General features: G+C 38.3%; 1 protein-coding gene across 3 annotated transcripts in view, besides 2 other annotated features; it reads left to right on the forward strand.

Moving 5' to 3' along the window:
• Nucleotides 1–24,465, forward strand: part of PLXDC2 (plexin domain containing 2) — a 473,425-nt gene that overhangs the window by 294,873 nt on the left and 154,087 nt on the right. The gene's annotated exons all lie outside the window — the stretch shown is intronic.
• Nucleotides 7,916–8,453: an enhancer, noted in NCBI's record as "NANOG hESC enhancer chr10:20408149-20408686 (GRCh37/hg19 assembly coordinates)". NCBI's record gives its function as "activates a minimal SCP1, AML or CMV promoter by ChIP-STARR-seq in primed H9 embryonic stem cells {active_cell/tissue: H9 hESC(primed)}" and the evidence as "EXISTENCE:reporter gene assay evidence [ECO:0000049][PMID:30033119]".
• Nucleotides 13,231–13,742: an enhancer, noted in NCBI's record as "NANOG hESC enhancer chr10:20413464-20413975 (GRCh37/hg19 assembly coordinates)". NCBI's record gives its function as "activates a minimal SCP1, AML or CMV promoter by ChIP-STARR-seq in primed H9 embryonic stem cells {active_cell/tissue: H9 hESC(primed)}" and the evidence as "EXISTENCE:reporter gene assay evidence [ECO:0000049][PMID:30033119]".

The following is a 24,465-nucleotide window of genomic DNA, read 5'->3' on the forward strand; positions in this document are numbered from 1 at the left end:
CCATTTGTTAATGATTCAATGACTCTATTTACTTTAAAAACAGAAGTATTTATTTTACACACACCAGCAACTAATATTACAATATTTTATCATTTTACAGATAAGGACACTTTTTAAATTTGGATTTCTGAAAATAATTATCTTGTGATTCAGAAAAAAATACATTTTCCTTGGACCATAGGTGTTCTCTAAGTAAATTATACACATACATATACTAACATTTGGTTTAGTTTAGTTCAAAAGATAAAACAAAAATGTCAAACTGAAATGTTTGTTTTCTCAATAAACAGTGTAAAAAGAATCACACTGTAATCATTGCAGGAAAGACATGTTTACTTCATTTTCAAACTAGTTAAGGATGACCAAATATATTTTGTAAACTTTGCATGAAATCCCAAGATGCGAGTCTCACGGTTACTCCTTCTTGTAAGAAAGTTCATTCTCCCAGAGGACAAGTATTTTGAGATTCTTCTAACATCCAGAAAGTTCACAGATCCTAACGTATACTTCAAGTAATTTCTAACACTGGCAATATTTTGATTAACAGTTTTTTAACTAAATGTCTGCATTCTTCCCAAATTCATATGCTGAAACCCCTTTCCCAATGTGACCATATTTGAAGATGAGACTTTGGAGAGGTAATTAGGGTTATACGAATTTATTGAGGGGGAGACTCATGGTGGGATTAATGCTCTCTTATGAAGAGTCATTAATGCCCTCTTACAAAGAGTCATTGTCTCTCCATCTGCATATACCATGTGAGGACACAGCAAGAAGGTCTGTGTCCTCTGCAAGAAGGTCCGTCTGCAAGTCAGGAAGAGAGCCCTCCCCAGAACCTGACCATGCTGGCTCCCTGATTTCTGACTTCCAGCCTCCAGAATTGTAAGAGAATAAATTTCTGTTGTTTAAGCCATCCAGTCTATGATATTTAGTTATGGTAGTCTGAAAAGACCAAGATAGCAATTGAATTATATTTGAAAGTCACTCACAAAGTTTTTCAGTTACTGAACTTAAATTGTTCACATAGGAAAATGAAAAAAAAAAAAAAGGTTCTACTTTCCAATTAGTATTCACTCTGACATTAGCCTCATTTTGGATTTCAAATTTCTCCTCTTCCTGAATGTACAGACTTGATCACTGTTTTCCTGAAATAAAGAATTCTCCCTTGAGCTCTGACTCGATGTCCTCCTCTCCATCATCCCCTGCTTCAGTGAGACAGTATCCCATGGGCATATTTAGTGACCTTTTTAATTTGTTAAGCTGTCATATTTGTTCATCTGTATTAAGTTGGGAACCCTCAGAACACACTTCTATCACGGTGGATTTATAACACTTAGAGAGTTCTGCTTTATAGATTTTTAAGTATAGAAATTTTCTCACTTTGCCTTAATTTAACATTATGTTAATACTTAGGCTACCTTAGTTTATTCGAAAGATAAGACCACATGAAAGTTGGAAAGAAAATTTTTACCGTGGAATATATGTGCTGTAGCTCTTTATACAATACTTGTGAAGTACTAATATTATAGACAAACACATTGCCAACAGGAAAATTAATGCTTTTATCAAATAAGCTCATTGCTTAAGGTTTTCTTTAGACTATGGAAAAATAAGTCAAAATGAAATAAAATGACCCTTGAAGTGATATCTTTTTATTTCATGGAAGAGTAGTTTGCCAGTGTGTGTTCATGCATCTTCATCTTATCAGGTACAGAGATGCAAATTCAGTTTCATGGTTAGTTTAGCAGGTAGTCCCTCCCATCTGTAGGCTTTGCAATGGAGAATACTGATCAGAGGAATCGGATTCTTTTCCCAGATCTCCAGACTTTTCACTTCAAAGTGCAACGGCTTAATGCAAAGACAACTGCCTCAACAGGTAGATGTTCAGTGATGGAAAACCACCAAATGACTCTTTTTATTGTAATACCTTACACTGTATGGGTTACAGAAATTGGGTTAGCTTTCTTAGCTTGCTAGCTAGCTTGCTTGCCAAGATTGGGTTAACTTTTACTCTAAACAAGCCTTCAAACCCAAATTTAGCTTTTTTCTTCCAATTTCCTTGCTGTAGTAACTGGTACCATCATCTTCCATTGAACGCCTTCCTCAGCCCTTTCGCCCTTTATCCAATAAGCCATCAGGACGTTGGTTCTACTTTTGAAAAACTCTCTAATGTGTCTACTTCTGCCCACTCCACTCCTAATTGCAGCCAATTCCATCCTTCCATGGGTTCCTGAGATAGACAGCGAATTATTCTCTCATTTCAACAGTGAACCCCTCCTTACTCATTTTCTACACATTCTGGCTGAATGAACTTACTATTTAAAAAAAAATTTTTTTGAACCACTTCAGCTGCATAAACAATAGATAATGTGGAAAACACTAGTGTACCCATTCCCTAGTTTGAAGGGGAAAAATAAAAAAACAGACACAGTTGATTTTGCCATGTACCCTTCTCAATTTTTTCCTCCATTCTTCTTTGGAAGAAAACATTCTCCTTAATGTGGTGCTTATCAGAATGCTCTTCCAATTAAGCAAATGTGGCTGGGTGTGGTGTCTCATGCATGTAACCCCAGCACTTTGGGAGGCTGAGGTGGGTGGATCACTGAAGGTCAGGAGTTAGAGATCAACCTGACCAACATGGTGAAACCCTGTCTACTAAAAATATAAAAATTAGTTAGGCATGATGGCAGGTGCCTGTAATCTCAGCTACTCAGGAGGCTGAGGCAGGGGGATTGCTAGAACCTGGGAGGTGGAGGTTGCAGTGAGCCGAGATTGTGCCACTGCACTACAGCCTGAGTGACAGAGTGAGACCCCATGTCAAAACAAAATAAAATAAAACAGAAAACAATTAGGCAAATCTGGTCAAGTCTTTGTTGAACTCTTCAGTGTTTGGCCATTGCCTTTGAAAAACATCCCCAAACTTTTGCTGTGGGCTGGCATAGCCTTCCACCATCTGACCTCAGCCTGTTGCTCTCTGGCCACATCATGCACCGTTCTCTGTGAAGTCCGGAGAAGGCTTTTCTCTCTACTTTAGCCCTAATGCCCAGCACAATACTTTAAACATACTAAGCAGTCAATGATTACTTGTAAATCCAGTGAGTACACGGATCAATGTCAGACGCTGTGTTGAAATACAAACATGAAAATGTTATGGTCCCTGTCCTCTGGGGTCTGTAAGAGGTGGTGAGAGAGGGGAATAGACCTAGGAATGGATGTGAAAACAAACAATTTTAACTCAGTGTGAGAAGACCTGTAACAGACGTCTGAATGAGCACAGGTGTGGACCACAAAGGGTGTAATCAGGCCTTCTGGGTTTGTGGAGAATGAAAGAAGTCTTCACAGACGAGGAGAAGCTTAAAAGATGAATAGGATTTTTCAGGGCACAGAAGCAGGAAAGTATATTTCAGGCAGAAACAGCAGCCTGTGAAAATGCATAAACCCATGGTACCTGGAGAGAACTGTGAGTATCTGGAGCACAGGATACATCTGGAGGGGTGGTGAGAGGTAAAGTTGAAGAGCCAGGCAGTGACCAGACCAGGGAGGGCTTTACATGGCAAGCTGCTGTGTTTGAAAATTCAGCAATTCACACTTGAAACCCAATGTATGACTTATGTATTGTGCCAAGTAAAGCACTGAATACAAAGATGAGTAAACTGACCCGTCTATCCTTAAAAGCTAGCTCATCCAACCAATGAGGAGATAAATAAATCCGCAATGCAATTTTTTTTTACCACTTTCTCTTCAAATACAGTTGTTTCCTGAATGGCTAGATTCTGATGACATTGGGGATTTGTCATTTTTGTAGACATTGGATAGTAGTCGTGTTGCCATAAACCAGAGGGCCAGCACGTTACTCTTTCACCTGTCACCGGCACACCCAGGAGGAGTGTTCATGTCAAGTCTTTAGAAACCTTCAGCATTGCAAAGCTTATAAAGGATAGCAAAGGCCACTTGAGAGGTATTTGCAACCTTGACTCATGTCAGCTTGTCCTCTTCCTTTTGCGAGATGGTCTGGGCTGAGTGTGGGGCACCTAAGCTGACCCCTTATCTAAGGCCAGAAATAAGTAGCCACACACTGGAGCTGTTTCAGCCCCTATTTGGTAACAACAGTAGAGATCACTTTTTTAGCTTAACGAGGGTCATCTTTCTCAATAATGTGTAAATAGTCCTAAGGGTGATTATGTAATAAATATATACCCTTCACATGTTAGTACATAAAAACCCATTATATCTTTCCTGAGAGAGGATTTAAATAGGCAGGAGAGAATTAATAGTCATACTTACCCGGGTAGAGTTTTTGACAATGGCAATGTAAGAAATGCACAGTGTTGAAGATTAGACAATGAACTCTAGAACATTTTGTCTACGCCTCCCCCATACTTCCCATATCTAAAATTTGTGAAAAGGTTAAAATACTATTACATTTTATTTAAATAATTTTAAAAAGTATTATTTTAGTACGATTGAGTGTCTTCTCTAATATAGGCTTGCCCCAGTTTCGTGAAGCTTTGAGCACTTAGACAAGGTGCACTGTCATGGTCAGGTCAGGTTATCCGGGATAAATCCTACCTTCAGCCATCTTGACTGGTGCACTCACACATTAAACGGGAGCTGCAGATAAATGTCCATGGAAAGAATTCCTCGCAGCACGATGACCCTTTTTATTCTCTTCTTTAGCAGATAGAAAGTGGAATTTTTAAAAAGTCATCCTTCAGTTCTGATTGGTCTGAACCAGTTACACAAAAGTGTGTTTGAGATGTGGATTCACGCTGCTCCTCTACAAAAGCTGCATGTTAGGAAACCAGGTTATCAATCACAAAAGACCTTGCATGCCTTCCTGCAGTCCCCTTTCAGAAGTGCCTCTTTTCAACCTAAGGAGATCATAGCTTTGCCCCCAAGCCTTTCTGTAGATGTAAATGTAAAGGTGCTATGGGAAAAATAACCCTAAGATTCTTTTTCCCCCCCGGAAAACAGTAAAATATTGAAGCTGCACTTGGAAGGTCTTTTTCTCTTGGTTGCACCAGTTAAACTAAGAGGAGATGTAGTGTTGTTATTACTTATCTGTTCTCGGGTTGTCCCACAGTTCTGGTTCTATTGCCTGCCTTTTTTTTCCATATACCCATTTCTCCCTGTTATCAGTAATCTGCTCTGGGCAAAGTCACAGTAAATCGAGAAGTTAATAAGCCATTTTTTTTTTGAGAGCACTTCTTAATGCTTTACTTTGGTTGGATAATCAGATGTTAAGGTTTAATAGAAGTAAAAAGGTTGTTAAGGGAATGGAAAAATAAGTTATTTAATGAAGTAACATTAGAAGTAAGGTATTTGGATACCTACAGATTGGTGGCTTGAAAGAAATGTACCTGTTTCTCTCCAAAGTGTGTATGATGTCACTAGAAGTAAGAAGACATAGAAAGGAGAAATTTGAAGTCAGAATTGTTGTTTGTAAGCAATGACATCCCTTCTAAATGTTCTACAAAATATTTTATTCAGTCTTACAAAAATTTTTTTGATAGTTGTTTTAGGTCTCTGACTTGTATTTTGCTTATTGCCTAATTGCAAGTAAATTCTACAGATTGTTATTTATCATTTAGGTATCTATTTTAAAGGAAGAGTTTATTGTTTCTGTGTTAAAATAATGCACAATGAATAAAAATGAAAAAATAAATAAAATATTTAAAGACTGGAAGAAAAAATATATTCTCATTTTCAGACAATATAATTATCACATACTAAATCCCTTAAAAATGAAAAAAAAAAATAGTTCAGCAGTTGAGCGAGATTGTAGAATATAAAATCAATATATAAAGTCAGTTGTGTTTCTGAATACACAGTCAGAAAATATAATTGAACATAAAGTTTTCAATAACAGTAGCTTCAAAAGAGCTAAATAAATCAAAAGACATATAAAGATTATGTGAAGGATGTTGTGAAAAATGTCATAAAAAATTAAAAGATTTCCAAGAGTACATAAATAAATAATGACAAATACCATGTTCATGGATTGGGGAATTCAAAATTAAAAGAAATGAATTCCTCTCAAACCGACTTATAACTCCAATGCAATTTCAGTCAAAATATAATATGATTATCTTATGTGTTTGTGTGTGCATGCGTGTGTGTGAGTGCACATGTATACTGACAAAATTTATATGAGAGAACAAAGGAACAGTGATTTTCACACATTCAAGGCAGACAGTTGATGGACTCTTGATTCGCCAGGTCTAAAGACATAACAAGGAAACATGGAGCCATCCACACAGGGATAAACAAGTTGACCGATGAATCAGAGTTGACTCCTGAAAAAATCCCATATATTTATGAAAATTCAACTATGTATTGCCCAGCAGTAAGAATAGGATGGAATTTTCAAAAAAGTGAGTCATGGATATGGCTAGAAGGACTTAGGGCTTCTTTCAGTCTCTCCCTGTTCTCAGTAATTGCAGTGCTTCCTAAAATAGAGTTGATGAATTTTATGAGGAACACATTATGTCTGTGAAAATAAATGCATTTTTGAAAATCTCAGTCAAGATGAAATTAACCAAGATATTGAAAGGTATGTGTATCTGGGTCAACAAAATGAAAAAGACCACGGCTGAAATGCTTTTAGACTAAGTAAGCTGGATGCTTCCTGGATTTTACTGCAGTTCAGATTTAAAGATACTCGATATGTGTTTTGTATTGATGTATAAAATCAATGTACTTTAACATGCCATCTCTTTCTGTCTCCGTCTCTATATATGTAGCTACATGTATACATATGTGTCTATATATGTCTGTATATACATGCATCCATATATGCCTACACACACACACACACACACACACACACACACAGACACACACACACCCTTTTATAAAAACTAAGCCAAATGTGGTATAAATTCCTTTCTTTTCTCAAATAGGGTGAGTTTTTCTTTCAGTTTGCAGTGTCTTATGTGTTCAAATCGTAGGGCATATTGGAAGTACAAAGAGTGAATTGCAATATGAATATGCAACCAGGTCAATGCTCTTTTGTTATGGTTATTTTGGCCCTCTCACTGACTACAGTATCTCATGGCTCCTGGGCTGGGGGAGAGAAGGAGGAGTATATGGCAAACACAACTGCAATCGGGGACAGATTATGAACTAGTAAAGTATCCAAAGTTTTCATGTCAAGGCATAGACCTAATTCTTAAATGTCACATTCTGGCCAGAACCAAGGGACCAATAGGACATGTCAGGAGTACTGATAGGAGCGGCACTGCACAAAAGTGAATCGTTTTTCTAAATCCATAGTGTAGCTCTTCTTTAATCCAAAACCGGTCCCAGGAAACTTTTTTCAAGAAATGGGGTCATGATCAGCCACTATGTAGAATGTTGGGTAATTTTAAGGAAATTACAGAAACTTCAGACAGGGAAGAAAGGCAAAGAAGAGAAACTAAACATTTAATGATAAACCACCATATTCCAGGGACAGGATTATACTAGGTTTCTTTCATTATTTATCTCATATAATTCTCACAGAGGCTATTAGTATTTCCATTTTGAAGGCAGGGAACTGAATATCAGAGCATTTAAATAATTTATTTGTAACAATGCAATTATTAAATGGCAGGGCCAGAATTTACATTGAAGCCTTTTTTTTTTTTTTTGATTCCAAAAGCAATTTCTGACACTGTATACCTTTTCCAGTAGAAACTCTTTGGGAATTAAATATTGCTTGAAGGTAAATTAATCTGCTGGGAGAGGTGATTTAGGAGTATGTGTCAATAATAAATATACTCATGAGAAAACCATGAACCTGAGGGTAGAGGCATCCAGGAGAGTATATGAGGATGGGGAAAACAATCAAGTAACGAACATGTAAGAGACATGTGCTGAGTTGAAGGGAAAGGGTGATGCATTCTGAAGTAGTAATTTTCATGCGTGTCTGTGTGAAGAGACCACCAAACAGGCTTTGTGTGAGCAACATGGCTGTTTATTTCACCTGGGTGCAGGCGGGCTGAGTCCGAAAAGAGAGTCAGCGAAGGGAGATAGGGGTGGGGCCGTTTTATAAGATTTGGGTAGGTAAAGGAAAAAGGGGGTTGTTCTCTGGCGGGCAGGAGTGGGGGTCACAAGGTACTCAGTGGGGGAGCTTGTGAGCCAGGATGAGCCAGGAGAAGGAATTTCACAAGACAATGTCTCAGTTAAGGCAGGAACAGGCCATTTTCACTTCTTTTGTGGTGGAATGTCATCAGTTAACGCAGGAACCGGGGATCTGGATGTGTACGTGCAGGTCACAGGGAATATGATGGCTTAGCTTGGGCTCAGAGGCCTGACATTCCTGTCTTCTTATATTAATAAGAAAAATAAAACAAAATAGTGGTAAAGTGTTGGGACAGCGAAAATTTTGGGAGATGGTATGGAGAGATAATGGGCGATGTTTCTCAGGGCTGCTTCGAGCGGGATTAGGGGTGGCGTGGGAACCTAGAGTGGGAGAGATTAAGATGAAGGAAGATTTTGTGGTAAGGGGTGATATTGTGGATTGTTAGAAGAAACATTTGTCATTTAGAATTATTGGTGATGGCATGGATATGGTTTTGTATGAATTGAAAAACTAAATAGAATAAGAGAAGGAGAAAAACAGGTATTAAAGGTCTAAGAATTGGGACGACTCAGGACATCTGATTAGAGAGTGCCTAAGGAGATTCAGCATAGTCCTGCCAGCAAAGATTATTTATTTACTTCAAGAGTTAAGAGTGGCAGTTTGGGGATAGCACCAGGAGATATCAGCTGTGATGGCTTGGAGAAACAGTGTAAACCGGCAGTGTAAACAAGAGCAGGGCATGTATGAGTAGTTGAGAACGGTGAATAGGAGTATGACTAGACAGAAGATAGTAGGGATGACAAGTTTTTTGGGGGCAGAGTCTAAGTTGGTCTGGTGTCTGGAATGAGACTGGGGCCTAATAAAAAGAGTGTCTATACAGGAGCTCAAATGGGCTGTACCTTGTATCATTCTGAGGACAGGTCTGACTTCTGAGAAGGGAAAGTGATAAAAGTATTGTCCAGTCCTTTTTGAATTGGTGGCTGAGCTTGGTGAGGTGTGTTTTTAAAAGACCTTTAGTCCATTCTACTTTTCCTGAAGATGGAGGACCATAAGGGATATAAAGGTTTCACTGAATACTAAGAGCCTGAAAAACTGCTTGGCTGATTTGACTAATAAAGGCTGGTCTGTTATCAGACTGTATAGAGTTGGGAAGGCTAAACTGAGGAATTATGTCTGACAGAAGGGAAGAAATGACTGCGGTGGCCTTCTCAGACCCTGTAGGAAAGGCCTCTACCTATCCAGTGAAAGTGTCTACCTAGACTACGAGGTATTTTAGTTATCTGACTCGGGGCATATTGAGTAAAGCTAATTTGCCAGTCCTGGGTGGGGGCAAATCCTCGAGCTTCATGTGTAGGGAAGGGAGGGGGCCTGAATAATCCCTGAGGAGTAGTAGAATAGCAGATGGAACACTGAGAAGTTATTTCCTTGAGGATAGATTTCCACCATGGAAAGGAAATGAAAGGTTCTAAGAGGCGGGCTAGTGGCTTGTGCTATAGCATAGCCTGCCTTTGCTGGTGTGTGGCAATTAGGCCTGATGGAACCGCCATCAATAAATCAAGCATGATCAGGATGAGGAACAGGAAAGAAGGAAATACGGGGAAATGGGGTGAATGTCAGGTGGATCAGAGAGATACAGTCATGGGTGTCAGTTGTGGTATCAGGAATAATGTGGGAGGCCGGATTGAAGTCCGGGCCAGGAACAATGGTAATTGTGGAACTTAACAAAGAGTGAGTACAGCTGAAGGAGCTGGGGAGCAGAAAGTATATGTGTCAGGTATGAGGAAGAAAATAGATTTTGGAAGTTATGAGACATGTAGAGAGTAAGTTGAGCATAGTTTGTGACTTTGAGGGCCTCTAAAAGTATTAGGGCGGCAGCAGCCACTGCACGGAGACATGATGGCTAGGCTAAAACAGGTCAAGTTGTTTGCACAGAAAGGCTACAGGGTGTGGTCCTGGCTCTTGTATAAGAATTCTGACCGCACTAACCATGCCTAGGAAGGAAAGGAGTTGTTGTTTTGTAAGGGATTGAGGTTTGGGAGATTAATCGGACACAATCAGCAGGGAAAGCACATGTGTTTTTATGAGAATTATGCCGAGATAGGTAACAGATGAGGATGAAATTTGGGCTTGACTGAAGTAATGGGGGCTGTCTGTGAAGCCTTGCGGCAGTACAGCCCAGGTAATTTGCTGAGCCTGATGGGTGTCAGGGTCAGTCTAAGTGAAAGCGAAGAGAGGCTGGGATGACAGGTGCAAAGGAGTAGTGAAGAAAGCATGTTTGAGATCCAGAACAGAATAATGGATTGTGGAGGGAGGTATTGAGGATAGGAGAGTGTATGGGTTTGGCACCATGGGGTAGATAGGCAAAACAATTTGGTTGATAAGGCATAGATCCTGAACTAACTTGAAAGGCTTGTCTGGTTTTAGGACAGGTAAAATGGGGGAATTGTAAGGAGAGTTTATAGGCTTTAAAAGGCCATGCTGTAGCAGGCGAGTGATAACAGGCTTTAATCCTTTCAAAGCATGCTGTGGGATGGGATATTGGCATCAATCGGGGTAAGGGTGATTAGGTTTTAATGAGATGGTAAGGGGTGCATGATCGGTTGCCAAGGAGGGAGTAGAGGTATCTTATACTTGTGGGTTAAGGTGGGGGAATACAAGAGGAGGACGCAAAGGAGGCTTTGGATTGGGAAGAAGGGCAGCCATGAGATGTAACTGTAATCCAGGAATAGTCAGGGAAGCAGATAATGTAGTTAAAGTGTCTCAGCCTAATAAGGGAACTGGGCAGGTGGGGATAACTAAAAGGAATGCTTAAAAGAGTATTGTCTAATTGGCACCAGATTTGGGGAGTTTTAAGAGGTTTAGAAGCCTGGCTGTCAATACGCACCACAGTTATGGAAGCAAGGGAAACAGGCCCTTGAAAATAAGGTAATGCGGAGTGAGTAGCCTCCGTATTGATTAAGAAGGGGACGGACTTACCCTCCACTGTGTGAGTTACCTGAAGCTCAGCGTCCGTGATGGTCTAGGGGGCTTTCGAGGCGATTGGGCAGCATCAGTCTTCAGCCACTAAGCCAAGAAGATCTGGGAAGGAGTCAGAGAGCCTTCGGCCAGAGTTCCAGGGGCTCTGGGAGTGGCTGCCAGGTGAGTTGGACAGTCCGATTTCCAGTGGAGTCCCGCACAGATGGGACGCGGCTTAGGAGGAATCCTGGGCTGCAGGCATTCCTTGGCCTTGTGGCCAGATTTCTGGCACTTGTAGCAAGCTCCTGGGGAAGGAGGTTCTGGAGAAATGTCTGGCCGCTGCGGTTCAGGCATTTGGAAGTTCTTGTGTGCTGGAGATGTGGCTGGGGTTTGTCTCACAGTGGAGGCAAGGAATTGCAACTTTTTTCTACTATTGTACACCTTGAAGGCGAGGTTAATTAAATCCTGTTGTGGGGTTTGAGGGCCGGAATTTAATTTTTGGAGTTTTATTTAGTGTCGGGAGCAGATTGGGTAATAAAATGCATTTTGAGAATAAGACGGCCTTTTGACCTTTTAGGGTCTAGGGCTGTAAAGCATCTCAGGGTTGCTGCCAAACGAGTCATGAGCTGGGCTGGATTTTTATATTTGATGAAAAAGAGCCTAAATGCTGTCTGATTTGGGATAAAGAAAAAGGAGCATTAACCTTGACTATGCCTTTAGCTCCAGCCACCTTTTTAAGAGTAAATTGCTGGGCAGGTGGGGGAGGGCTAGTCATGGAACAAAACTGTAAGCCGGACCAGGTGTGAGGAGGGGAGGTGTGATAAAAGGATTATAGGGTGGAGGAGTGGAGGCTGAGGAAGAATTGGGACCTAGCTCGGCCTGGCGAGGAGCAGCCTGGGGAGGAGGGGAGAGGTCAGATGGGTCTGTAGAAAAGGAACATTAGAAAGACTCAGAGACGCTTGGGGTTGGGACTGAGGGGACAGACAGGAGGGAAAGAAGGAAGATTTGGGATGAGTTGCATTGGGAACAGAGACTAGAGAGGGACCGATGTGTAAAAGAATGCCTGGACGTCAGGCATCTCAGATCATTTGCCCATTTTACAACAAGAATTATTTAGATCTTGTAAGATGGAAAAATCGAAAGTGCCGTTTTCTGGCTATTTGGAACTACTGTCGAGTTTGTATTGGGGTCAAGTGGCATTGCAGAAGAAAATAAGATGCTTAGATTTTAGGTCAGGTGAGAGTTGAAGAGGTTTTAAGTTCTTAAGAACACAGGCTAAGGGAGAAGAAGGAGGAATGGAGGGTGGAAGGTTGCCCATAGTGAAGGAGGCAAGCCCAGAGAAAAGAGAGAGTAGAGACACGGAGGGAAGGGGTTCGGGGGTTCTTACCCTCCAGAAAAGTGGGAAAGGGGATGGGGCACAGAGATACGAGGTCAGGGCACGGAAATAAGGGATTGGGGCACAGAGATATAAGAGGTTGGGCGAGGAAATAAGGGATCAGGGTGCAGAGATATAAGAGGTTGGGGCATGGAAATAAGGGATTGGGGTGCAGAGATATAAGAGCTTGGGGCACGGAAATAAGGGATCAGGGCACAGAGATATAAGGGGTTGGGGTAATTATCCCTCCCCTAGAAAAGCGGGACTTGCTGCTAAGGGTGAAGAAGAAGGGGTTGGGGGTTTCTTGCCCCCCAGAAAGGCAGAGAAGGTGTAGAGACACGGAGAGAAGGGGTTGGGGTACTTGCCCCTCCCACAGAAAAGCGGAACTTGCCGCTAAGGATGAAGGACAAAGGCAGGTGTCCCTGCATGGTCTGACACCTCTGAAACATGGGTAAATAATCAGAGAGGCATCCCTGCAATGATTCAACACCAGGGGAAGGCTGCCTTCCCTAGTCCTTGACCGGTGCCAGAGTTCTGGGTCCACGGATAAAACGTGTCTCCTTTGTCTCTACCAGAAAATGAAAGGAATTGAAATTAAGAGAAGGGAGAGATTGAAGAGTGGAAAGGAGAAAGTGGTTGAGGGACAGTGAGAGAGGTTGGAGAAGAGAGTAAGAAGAGGCCGCTCACCCGATTTAAAATTGGTGAGATGTTCCTTGGGCTGGTAGGTCTGAGGACCTGAGGTCGTAGGTGGATCTTTCTCACGGAGCAAAGGACAGGAGGACAGGGGTTGATCTCTCAAGGGAGGTCCCCCAATCCAAGTCACGGCACCAAATTTCCTGCGTGTCTGAGTGAAGAGACCACCAAACAGGCTTTGTGTGAGCAACATGGCTGTTTATTTCACCTGGGTGCAGGCGGGCTGAGTCCGAAAAGAGAGTCAGCGAAGGGAGATGGGGGTGGGGCCGTTTTATAGGATTTGGATAGGTGAAGGAAAAAGGGGGTTGTTCTCTGGCGGGCAGGAGTGGGGGTCACAAGGTACTCAGTGGGGGAGCTTTTGAGCCAGGATGAGCCAGGAGAAGGAATTTCACAAGACATTGTCATCAGTTAAGGCAGGAACAGGCCATTTTCACTTCTTTTGTGGTGGAATGTCATCAGTTAAGGCAGGAACTGGCCATCTGGATGTGTACGTGCAGGTCACAGGGAATATCATGGCTCAGCTTGGGCTCAGAGGCCTGACAGTAATGACCTTTGGTTTAGAAAGCTATGAGAGGGTAATATAGTGGCAGACTACCGTGGAAACCAGCAACAACTTGTAGTTTCTTAATTGCTTATAAATATTGCAGTTGGCATTTGGATAGGACAACTCTTCATTGAGCAGAAATCCAAAACATTTAACAGCTACCTCCCCCAGCTTGATCCCAGTAATGTCCCCCAGACATTGTGACAATCAACCCCCTACCCACACACCTGTTTCCTAATATCCACTGGCACTTGAGAAGCAGAGTATTAGGGAGGTGGTACTACCACCTTGCAGTGGGACTCTAAGAGAATGTTGTGGAGATCTTGACTTAACTTACTAACAACGCCATATCCGAAAAGTGAAATGAAGCACCTAAGGAAGATTGAAATGAATCCTATGAGCCTGGTCCTAGCCGAGCAAACACAATTGGATGGTGTATTTGAAGTGGTGTAGAACTGATTGAAAGCTTGAACAAAATCCAACCTGTTTGTAGTCTTGGATGAAGGGCTGGATAGAGAGATTGTATACCATCACCTTGGCGGACCAGACTACTAAAACATCTGAGAAAATGTAGGCACGATCACAACTCTGAGATTGCAAAAGGGCACATGTCTCAATAAAGGTGGAAATATCACAGAGGTTTGAGCCTGACCATAGGACTGCAAAGATCAAGAGCAAAGAGAGGAATCAATGCAGCTATAGAGAGAGCCTCTATAGAGCTCTGATTTTAAAAGGATGTCAGAGTTCAGTGCAATGCTCCTTATATTTGTGTTGTTTCGAGCAATTGCAGCTGCATTTATGTTGTCTTTTTTTTAAACTGATTAATGTACACAGCAGTGTTATTTAAAGGGATTAGTTTTAGCCTCATTTTATAGAGGAGATTGCAACTCAACGAGAGTAAGTGATGACATGAGGTCATACAACTTGTAAGACGGAAAGGAGAACTCAAATGTGAGCCTTTCCACTACATTTTTACTCCTTGCAGAGAGAAATGAACATATATATATATATATATAATATTTACAATAATACATATTTTATATGTGCTATACATACACACAACCTATTATACAAACACTACATATATACACACATACATTTGTACATTTGCGTATACATATATACACATATTTAATAGTATATACACAGGCTATATAAAACATCAATATGTATGTTTTATATATAATATATGTTATATATGTGTATATATAACATATATTATGTATGTATCTATACATATATGTTATATAATACATATATGTATACACACACATATATGTTATATAATACATATACGTTGTATAATACATATATACATATACGTTATATAATACATATATACATATACGTTATATAATACATATATACACATACGTTATATAATATATACATATACGTTATATAATACATATATACATATGTGTTATATAATACATATATACATATGTGTTATATAATACATATATGTATATACAACACACGTTATATATGTATATACAACACACGTTATATATGTATATACAACACACGTTATATATGTATATATAACACACACGTTATATATGTATATATAACACACACGTTATATATGTATATATAACACACACGTTATATATGTATATATAACACACACGTTATATATGTATATATAACACACACGTTATATATGTATATATAACACACACGTTATATATGTATATATAACACACACGTTATATATGTATATATAACACACGTTATATATGTATATATAACACACGTTATATATGTATATATAACACACACGTTATATATGTATATAGAACACACACGTTATATATGTATATAGAACACACATGTTATATATGTATATAGAACACACGTTATATATGTATATATAACATATATGTGTATATATAATATATGATATATACATATATGTTATGTATGTATATATAATATATGATATATACTATATAATATATGTATATATGTATATATTATGTATGTATATATTATGTATATATTGTATATGTGTTATATATACATATATATAAAACACTAGGTTGGATGTATAAGGATATGACATTAGCTTGAATCTATAAGTGCTAAGGCAATTAAAACCCAAAGCATCTAAAGAAATTATTGGGATACATTAGATATTTGGGTGGAAAAAAAAGAAAGAAGGAAGGAATAGACTCTCGATTTGGGAATGTTGGTACAATGCAGATGGCTGTCTTTGAGAAAGCAAAGCTCTTCTACTCCTTTTGAGCTTTTTTCCTTCCTAAATGAATGGGATTTATCTTGCCATGAAAAGGGAAAGACAGTGAAGAGATTGTCAGCACATTCAGGACATTGCGTGTTCTGATTTGGATGGATTCTGGTAAAATTCAGAGATGAGATCTTTGTCTTTCCTAGAACTGTGTAAACAATCATGGAAAACAAAAACATTTCTGGAAGAATGAGAGTTGGGAAAGTGTAATTATTTCAAAATTGTACAATAAAATTTGTTTTGTAAACCAGAGGCTGGATTTTGGGCAAGGATCTGAAAGGGATATTCTCCTGCTATGTAATATTTTTACTTTAAATAGAACTGATTTTTAAAATAAGGCTTCATTTACTATAGAATATTCAACATGTACAATAAGGTATGATGATGTAGAAAGAAGGACTCCTATCCAAAGGCAGCCCCCTCTTTATATATGGGCATCTTCCTTCCAGGGCTGTTTCTGGACATTTTAAAAATGGATTTCAAATGATAATTTTTAAGTCCTTAGAAAAGAAAGAGAGAAAATGGGGTGTAGTGGAACATGTCTGTAGTCCCAGCTACTAGGAAGGCTGAGGCAGGAGAATGGCTTGCACCCAGGAGTTCAACTCCAGCCTAGGCAACATAGCAAGACCCCATCTCTTAAACAAAAGGAAGGGAAAAAGGAAAAAGACTGTTATTTTCATTAGGTTGGGGGCATTATGGTTGAAGTGAAAGGCAGAATAATGCATGAGCTTCCCTCTCTAGAGCAGAACAGAACCAGGATGGAAGCCCTGCTAATAATGTAGAGCTGTTCTAGACAGTATCTATCCCAAATGGGTTATGTAGGCTCTGGTCAACCTAGACAGAAATTCCAGGGGGAACCAACACTCACAAACATGGAAGTGGAATAACTGTCTTCTAGAAAGGCTGCCCTGCAGGGAGCATGGTCAAAGGTATTAGGTGGATTCAAGACAGACGCTTTGCAAACACAGGGCAGTCTACCCAAAGACCAAGCAGACCTCATGTCCTGGGGATGATCTCTCACCCATAATTTGGCTGCAGCATGTGACTCCAGCATTTGACAACAGGATCTCCATATCTTTAGTCTAGGAGTGTAAATAATTCAAAGCAACTCTCTCTTTGTCCCCCATGTAGGAGTAAGACTTTTTATTTTCTTGAGGTATTGACTTTTTTTCAGCTTCACTGAGATATAATTGGCAAATGCAATTTGTATATATTTAAGATGCACAATATAGTGTTTTGATATACATATACATTGTGAAACAATTACCGCTATAAGCTTGATTAATATATCCATCACCTCACATAGTTACTTTTTTTTGGTAAGAACACGTAAGATCTATTCTTTTAGCAAATTTCAAGTATGCAATGCAGTATTATTAACAATAGTTGTCTATGCTATATATGAGATCTCCAGAACTTTATTATTCTGAAAAACTGAAACCTTATACCCTTTAGCCAATGTGTCCGTGTTTACCCTATCCCCCCACTTCTAGCAGCCACCATTCTACTCTCTGATTCTATGAGTCTAACTTTTTTGATTCTACATATAGTATTTGCCTTTCTGGGACCAGCTTATTGCACATAACATAATTTCTTCCAAGTTCATCCATGTTGACACAAATGACTTCCTTCTCTTTAAAGGCTGAATAGTATTCCATTTTGTACCTATACCACATTTTCTTAATTTATTCATCCACTGATGAACACTTAGGTTGATCCTATATCTTGGCCATTGTGAACAATGCTGCAATGAACATGGAAGTTCTGCTATCCCTTGCACATACTGATTTCACTTCCTCCGGATATATACTCAGAAGTGGAATTGCTTTATCATACAGTAGTTCCACTTTTAATTTTGTGGAAATCCTCTGCGTTATTTCCATAATGACTATACTAATTTACATTTCCACCAACAATGTATAAGAGTTCCCCTTTCTCCACCTCCTTGTCAACACTTGTTATCTTTCATGTTGCTCATAATAGTCATCCCAAAATATATGATATTTTATTCTGGTTTTTATTTGCATTTCCTTAATTATTAGTGATGCTGAGCATTTTTTATGTACCTATTGGGTATTTGTGTGTTTTCATTTGAGAAATGTCGGTTCAAGTCATTTGTCCATTGTTTAATTGGGTTGCTTTCTTGCTATTGAGCGGAGTTCTTTATATATTTTGAATAATGACCCCTTAGCAGATATGTAATTTGCAAATGTCTTCTCCCATTCTGTAGGTTTTCTCTTGACTCTGTTGATCGTTTTCTTTAAAGGCTTTTCAGTTTCATGAAATCTCATTTGTCCATTTGTGTTTTGTTTTAGGGGTCATCCCATATATACATACACATATATATATATACACATACACATATATATGTGTATATATATACACATATATATGTAGCCCAGATCAATGTCAGGAAACATTTTCCCTGTGTTTTCTTCTAATAGTTTTGCAGTTTCTGGTCTCACATTTAAGCCTTTAGTCTACTTTGAGTTGATTTTTGTATATGGTGTGAAATAATGCTCCAATTTTATTTTTCTACTTGCGGATATCTAGTTTTCTAACATTATTTATTAAAGAGACTACCTTTTCAGCCATTGTGTTCTTGTCATAGTTGTTGAAAATCAATGACCATAAATGCTTAGGTTTAGGGCTGGGCTGTCTATTCTGTTCCTTTGGTCTGTGTGACTGTTTTCATTCCAGAACCATTCTGTTTTGATTTCTGTAGCTTTGTAGTAGATTTTGAAATCAGGTAGTGTGATGCCTCCAGCTTTGTTCTTCTTGCTCAAGATAGCTTTGGCAGTTACAGGCCTTTTGTGGTTCCATATGAATTTCTTGATTTTTTTTTTCTTTTTCTTTGAAAATGCCATTGGGATTTTGATAAGAATTGCATTTAATATGTAGATTGCTTTGGGTCACATGGAAAGTTTAATATTTTTAATTTTCAATTCTTCTCATCTATGATCACAGGATATCATTCCTTTTATTTGTGATTTCTTTAATTTTCTTTCACCAATGCTTCAGTTTACGGATCTTTTATCTCTTTGGATAAAATTATTTCTAAATATTTTAAATTTTGGTGCTATTGTATGTGAGAGTGTTAATTTCTATTTTGGATAGTTTGTTGTTAGTGTATAGAAACACAACTGATTTTCGCATGTTTATTGTGTATCTTGTACTTTCACTGAATTTGTTTATTAATGCCAACAGGTTTTTGGAGGAGTTTTAAGGGTTTTGTATATAGAGCATTATGTCATCTGCAAAGAAAATTTTATTTCTTCCTTTCTGGTTTGTCTTTTATTTCTTTTTTCTTGATTAATTGCTCTGGCTAGAACTTCTAATATTATATTGAATAGAAGTGGCAAGAATGAGTATCCTTATCTTGTTACTAATCCCGAGAAGCTTTTAGCTTTTTATCATTGAGTGTGATACTATATGTGGACTTGTCATACATATTCTTTATTATTTTAAGTTATATTCCATCTATACCTAATTTGTTGAGAGTTTTTATCATGAAAGGATGTTAAATTTTGTCAAATGCTTTTTTGCATATATCGAGATGATCATATAATTTTTAATCTTCATTCTATTAATGTAGTATATCACATTTATTGATTTGTGTATGTTAAAACAAGGATAAAACCCATGTGATCATGGGTAGTGATCCTTTTAATGTGCTGTTGAATTAGATTTTCTATTATTTGGTAAGGATTTCTGCATCTACATTCATCAGGGATATTGACCTGTAGTTTTCTTTTATTGTAACGTTTTCGTCTGACTTTGGTATCCAGGTAATGCTGGCCATGAGAAAAGAGTTTGCAAGTGTTTCTTTCTCTTCAAATTTTTTGGAAGATTTTAAGTAGTATTGGTGTTAAATATCCTTTAAATGTTTGGTAGAATTTACCCCAGTAAAGCCATGAGGTCCTGAGCATCTCTTTGTTTGGAGGTTTTTGATTACTGATTAAGTCTCTTTACTTGTTATTTTTTTTTTTTCAGATTTTCTATTCTGTTTTTTGTTCTGGTTTCTTTTATCCATATTTTCTATTCTATTTAGTGTTTCTGTACTGTTCTGTTCCGACGTGGTAATATGTATGTTTCCAGAAATTTATACACTGCTTCTAGGTTATCGAATTTGTTGGCATATAATTTTTATAGTAGTTTCTTCTGATATTTTATATTTATATGGTATCAATTGTAATCTCTTCTTTCACTTATAATTTTTTTTCTTTTTTGAGACAGAGTTTCACTCTTGTTGCCCAGGCTGGAGTGCAATGGTGCAATCTCAGTGCACTGCAACCTCCGCCTCCTGAGTTCGAGCAATTCTCCTGTCTCAGCCTCCCGAGTAGCTGGAATTATGGGCACATGCCACCATGCCCAGCTAATTTTTGTATTTTTAATAGAGACAGGGTTTCATCATATTGGTCAGGCTGGTCTTGAACTCCTGACCTCAGGTGATCCACCTGCCTCAGCCTCCCAAAGTGCTGGGATTACAGGCGTGAGCCACTGCACCCGGCCACTTACAGTTTTATTATTCTATTTTTTCTTAGTTTAACTAAAAGTTACTCTTTTGTTTATTTAGAAAAAAAACCCAACTCCTAGTTTCATTAATCTTTTGTATTGTTTTTTCTAGTCCCTATATCATTCATATATATTCTGATCTTTTTTATTTCCTTCCTTCTGCTAACTCTTTATTATATCCTTTCTTAAGCTTAGTTTGTTCTTGTTTCCTTGTTCCTTGAGGTGTCATATTAGGTTGCTTTTATGAAATCTTTCTTTTTTCTTCATGTAGGCATTTATTGCTATAAACTTACCCCTTAGGGCTGCTGTTGCTGCATCCCATAAAATTTGGAAAGTTATATTTGCATTTTTGTTTGTCTCAAGATATCTTTTAAGATCACTATTGATTTCTTCTTTGACTCATTGGTTGTTCAGAACTATGTTATTTAATTTTCACATATTTGCAAATGCTTCCAATTTTCCTCCTCTTATTGATTTCTAATTTCATTTCATCGTGGTCTGAAAAGATACTTGGTATTACTTAAATCTTCTTAAATCTGTGAAGACTTTTATTTGACCTAACGTGGATCTATCCTAACAAATATTCCATGTGCATTTGTAAAGAATGTATATTCTGCTGCTGTTGGATGAAACGTTCTATATATCTCTGTTAAATTCATTTGGTCTTCAGTCTTGTTCGTGTCTTCTGTATACTTATGGATTGTTTTTGTCTGGATGACCTATCCACTGCTGAAGGTGGCAATATTGAAGTCCTCTACTATTATTGTATTGGTGAACTATTTCTCCTTTTAGCTCTCTTAATATTTGCTTTATATATTTATGTTCTTAATATTGAGGGCATAACTATTTACAATTTTATGTCCTTTTGATGAATTGATATCTTTATCATTGTCTCTTGTGGCAGTTTTTGATTTAACATCTCTTTTGTCTGATATAGTTACGGCTACTCCTGCTCTCTTTTGGACTATTTTTGCAGGGACTATCTTTTTCCATCCTTTCACTTTCAGCATATGAGTGTCCTTAAAGCTAAGGTTAAGTCTTTTGTAAAGAACATATAGTTTGATCTTTAAAAAAAAAAAATCCATTCAACCACTATATGTCTTTTGATTGAAGAATGTAATCCATACATTTAAAGTAATTATTTACAGGTAAAGATTTACTATTGCCATTTTATTGTTTTCTATTTTATAGCCCTTTTCTTCTTTTCTTCCTCTCTTGTTGCCTTCTTTTTGATTTGATAATTTTTTGTCGTGATTTGCTTTAACTTCTTTATCTTTATGTCTACCATCAATTTTTCCTTCGTGGTTACCACTAAGCTTACATAAGACATCTTCAAGTCATAGCATATGTTTTAAACTGATAACAATGTAACTTCCTCCACATACAAAAACTACACTTTAACTTGTCTTCTCATATTTTTTGTAGATGACTTCACAATTTTATCTTTTTTATTATGTATTCATTAATAAATTATTATAGCTATATTTCCAATACCTTTGTCTTTAAACTTTTATACTAGAGTTAAAAGTGAGTTGTGGAGCACTATTGGAATATAAGAATAGCTGAGTGTGATTGCATTCTGACCTTTACAGTGAGTTTAATTCTTTCATATATTTTCGCGTTGTTAGTTTCTATCATTTCATTTCAACTTAAAGGTTCTCTTTACCATTTCTTGTGAGGTAGTCCTAATGGTGATGAACTCCCTCATCTTTTGTTTGTCTGGGAAATTCTGTCTCTCTTTTTCATTGTAAAAGTCAACTTGGCTAGTTATAGTATTCTTGGTCATTGCTGGTTTACTTTCAACACTTTGAATTTATTATTTGTCTCTCTTTTGCCCTATAAGGTTCCTGCTGAGAAACACCCTGGTAGCCTTACAGACCTTCCCTTTCATGTCATGAGTAGATTTTTGTCTTGCTGCTCTCAAATTTCTCGCTATGTCTTTGACTTCAGAGAATTTGTTAATAACATGTTTTTGTGATGATCTCTTTATGTCTAAACTACTTGGGATTCTTTGGGCGTCATGGATCTGAACGTTCATTTCTCTCTCCAGATTTGGGAAGTTTTCTGTTATTGTTTATGCATAATAAGCTTTTGCCTTTTCTCTTTCTCTGCTTCTTCTGGAACTCCCATAATGAATATATTGGTTCACTTAATGATGTCTCATAATTCCTGTAGGCTTTCTTTACTCTTTTAAAAATTCTTTTGTTGTTGCTCCTCTTACCAGGTAAATTTAAATGCTCTGTCTTCAAGCTTGCTGATTCTTTCTCCTGCTTTAACAAGTCTGCTGTTGAACCTCTCTATGGAATTTTTCAGTTCAGTTAATGTTTTCTTCAGTTCCAGAATTTCTGTTTGGTTCTTTTTTTCATAGTTTCTGTCTCTTTGTTAAACTTCTTGTTTTATTCATGTATTGCTTTCCTGATATCAGTTAGTTTTGTACTTGTGTTCTCCTGTAGCTCACTCAGCTTCAAGATAATTATTTTCAATTCTTTGTCAGGCAGTTCATAGATCTCCAATTCTTTGAGGCCTGTTATGGGTGCTTTATTTGGTTATCTTGATGCTATCATGTTTCCTTGATTATTTGTGAGCCTTGTTACCTTGCATTGGTAATGTAATCTGCATTTGAAGAAGTAGGCACTTCTTTCAGTCTTTATGTACTGATGTTGACAAAGAATGTCCTTCACCACTCAGTCCATCCAGAAATTCTGTGCCAGCGGCTGACAAAATCTATGTTCAGGCTTACTTCTGGAGTTTTTGGGCAGGCTGGCTAGATAAGCATTTGGGTAGGCCTACTGCCTGGGTCCACAGGAGCTAACCTGGTGCCTGGGTCTGCAGATGCAGGCCTGGAGCCTCGATTAACTGGGCAATCCTAGTGTCTGGGTCTGCATGACAGGCATGGATCCTGGGTCAATGAGTTTGGGCCTACATCTTGGGTCTATGGGAATCAACCTGGCACAAGGGTTCACAGGCGCTTACGTGAAGCCTAGGTCTGTGAAGGCCAAACTACTTTGTACCGGGTGCCACATCATTCATCCTGGAGCCTGGAGCCATGGGGGCCAGCCTGTAACCTAGGATTGCAAGTGTTGGCCTGGTTTTGGGGTGGGCCTGGAGTCTGGAGTCACATGGGCCAGCCTGGAGCTCAGGTCTCTATGAGCCTGCCTGAAGGGGTTCACTGGGATGGGCCAGTGTTGGGGTCTACAGCGAAACTTGGTGCTGCTCACTTTACTCACCTGGAGGGTATATTTCTCTGCACTGGGTTGCATAGGCTTGGAGAAGACTTGATGTGGGTAATGTGAAATTTTCTTACCTATCTTCTTCAATTTGTCTTTTCTTATTTCTGGGCTCCACTTAGGTGCTATAATCTCTCACCTGGATCTCTTAGTTCTTGTGAAGGTATTTTTGTCCATGGATGGTTGTATAAATTGATTTTCTGAGAGTGGACAAGTACTGGAAACTCCTATTCTGCCATATTGCTGCCATTACTCTACCTGCACGATTAAGGCTTTTGAAATATTACTTGGTTCTATTTTGATAGAGGAAATAAACTTGATGGCCAGTTCAATGTCTCCATGAAAAGCCAGGTACTTTGTGTACTATAAAACTGCAAGGGTTGGCATGCATAGTCTGCAGTCTAGAAATGGTTCTGAATGAACCCATATCTAGAAATCCTAGATAATCCGAAGCATTTAGGGAGGTGGGGAGGGGAGCTGTTGACAGTGACCATTAGGAGGAATTAACATTAACTAAGAACATGTTACATGAATTTCTTTGAGGAACAAGATGGAGGAAACAAGAACTGAAATCAACAATTTTGTTGTTAGTTCAAAGTGAAAAATCAGGAAGAAGGTTTGGGCTTTTTGGTTTTTGATTTTCAGCTTTTGTTTGTTTGTTTGTTTTTTGTCTATCTTCCCCTCTTCATATACACATTTCAGCTCCTGTTCTTTCTGGAGCTGTGGAGAGCCTCTGTATATGGTCAACACAAATTTTTATATTGGTAATTTTATGAACATAATTTGCAGCTGATAACAGAGTTGTCACTTGTTGCTTTTTTCCCCCAAGGAATGGTTTCG

This window comes from Homo sapiens, chromosome 10 (genome assembly GCF_000001405.40).
Source record: "Homo sapiens chromosome 10, GRCh38.p14 Primary Assembly".
NCBI classification, from domain to species: domain Eukaryota; kingdom Metazoa; phylum Chordata; class Mammalia; order Primates; family Hominidae; genus Homo; species Homo sapiens.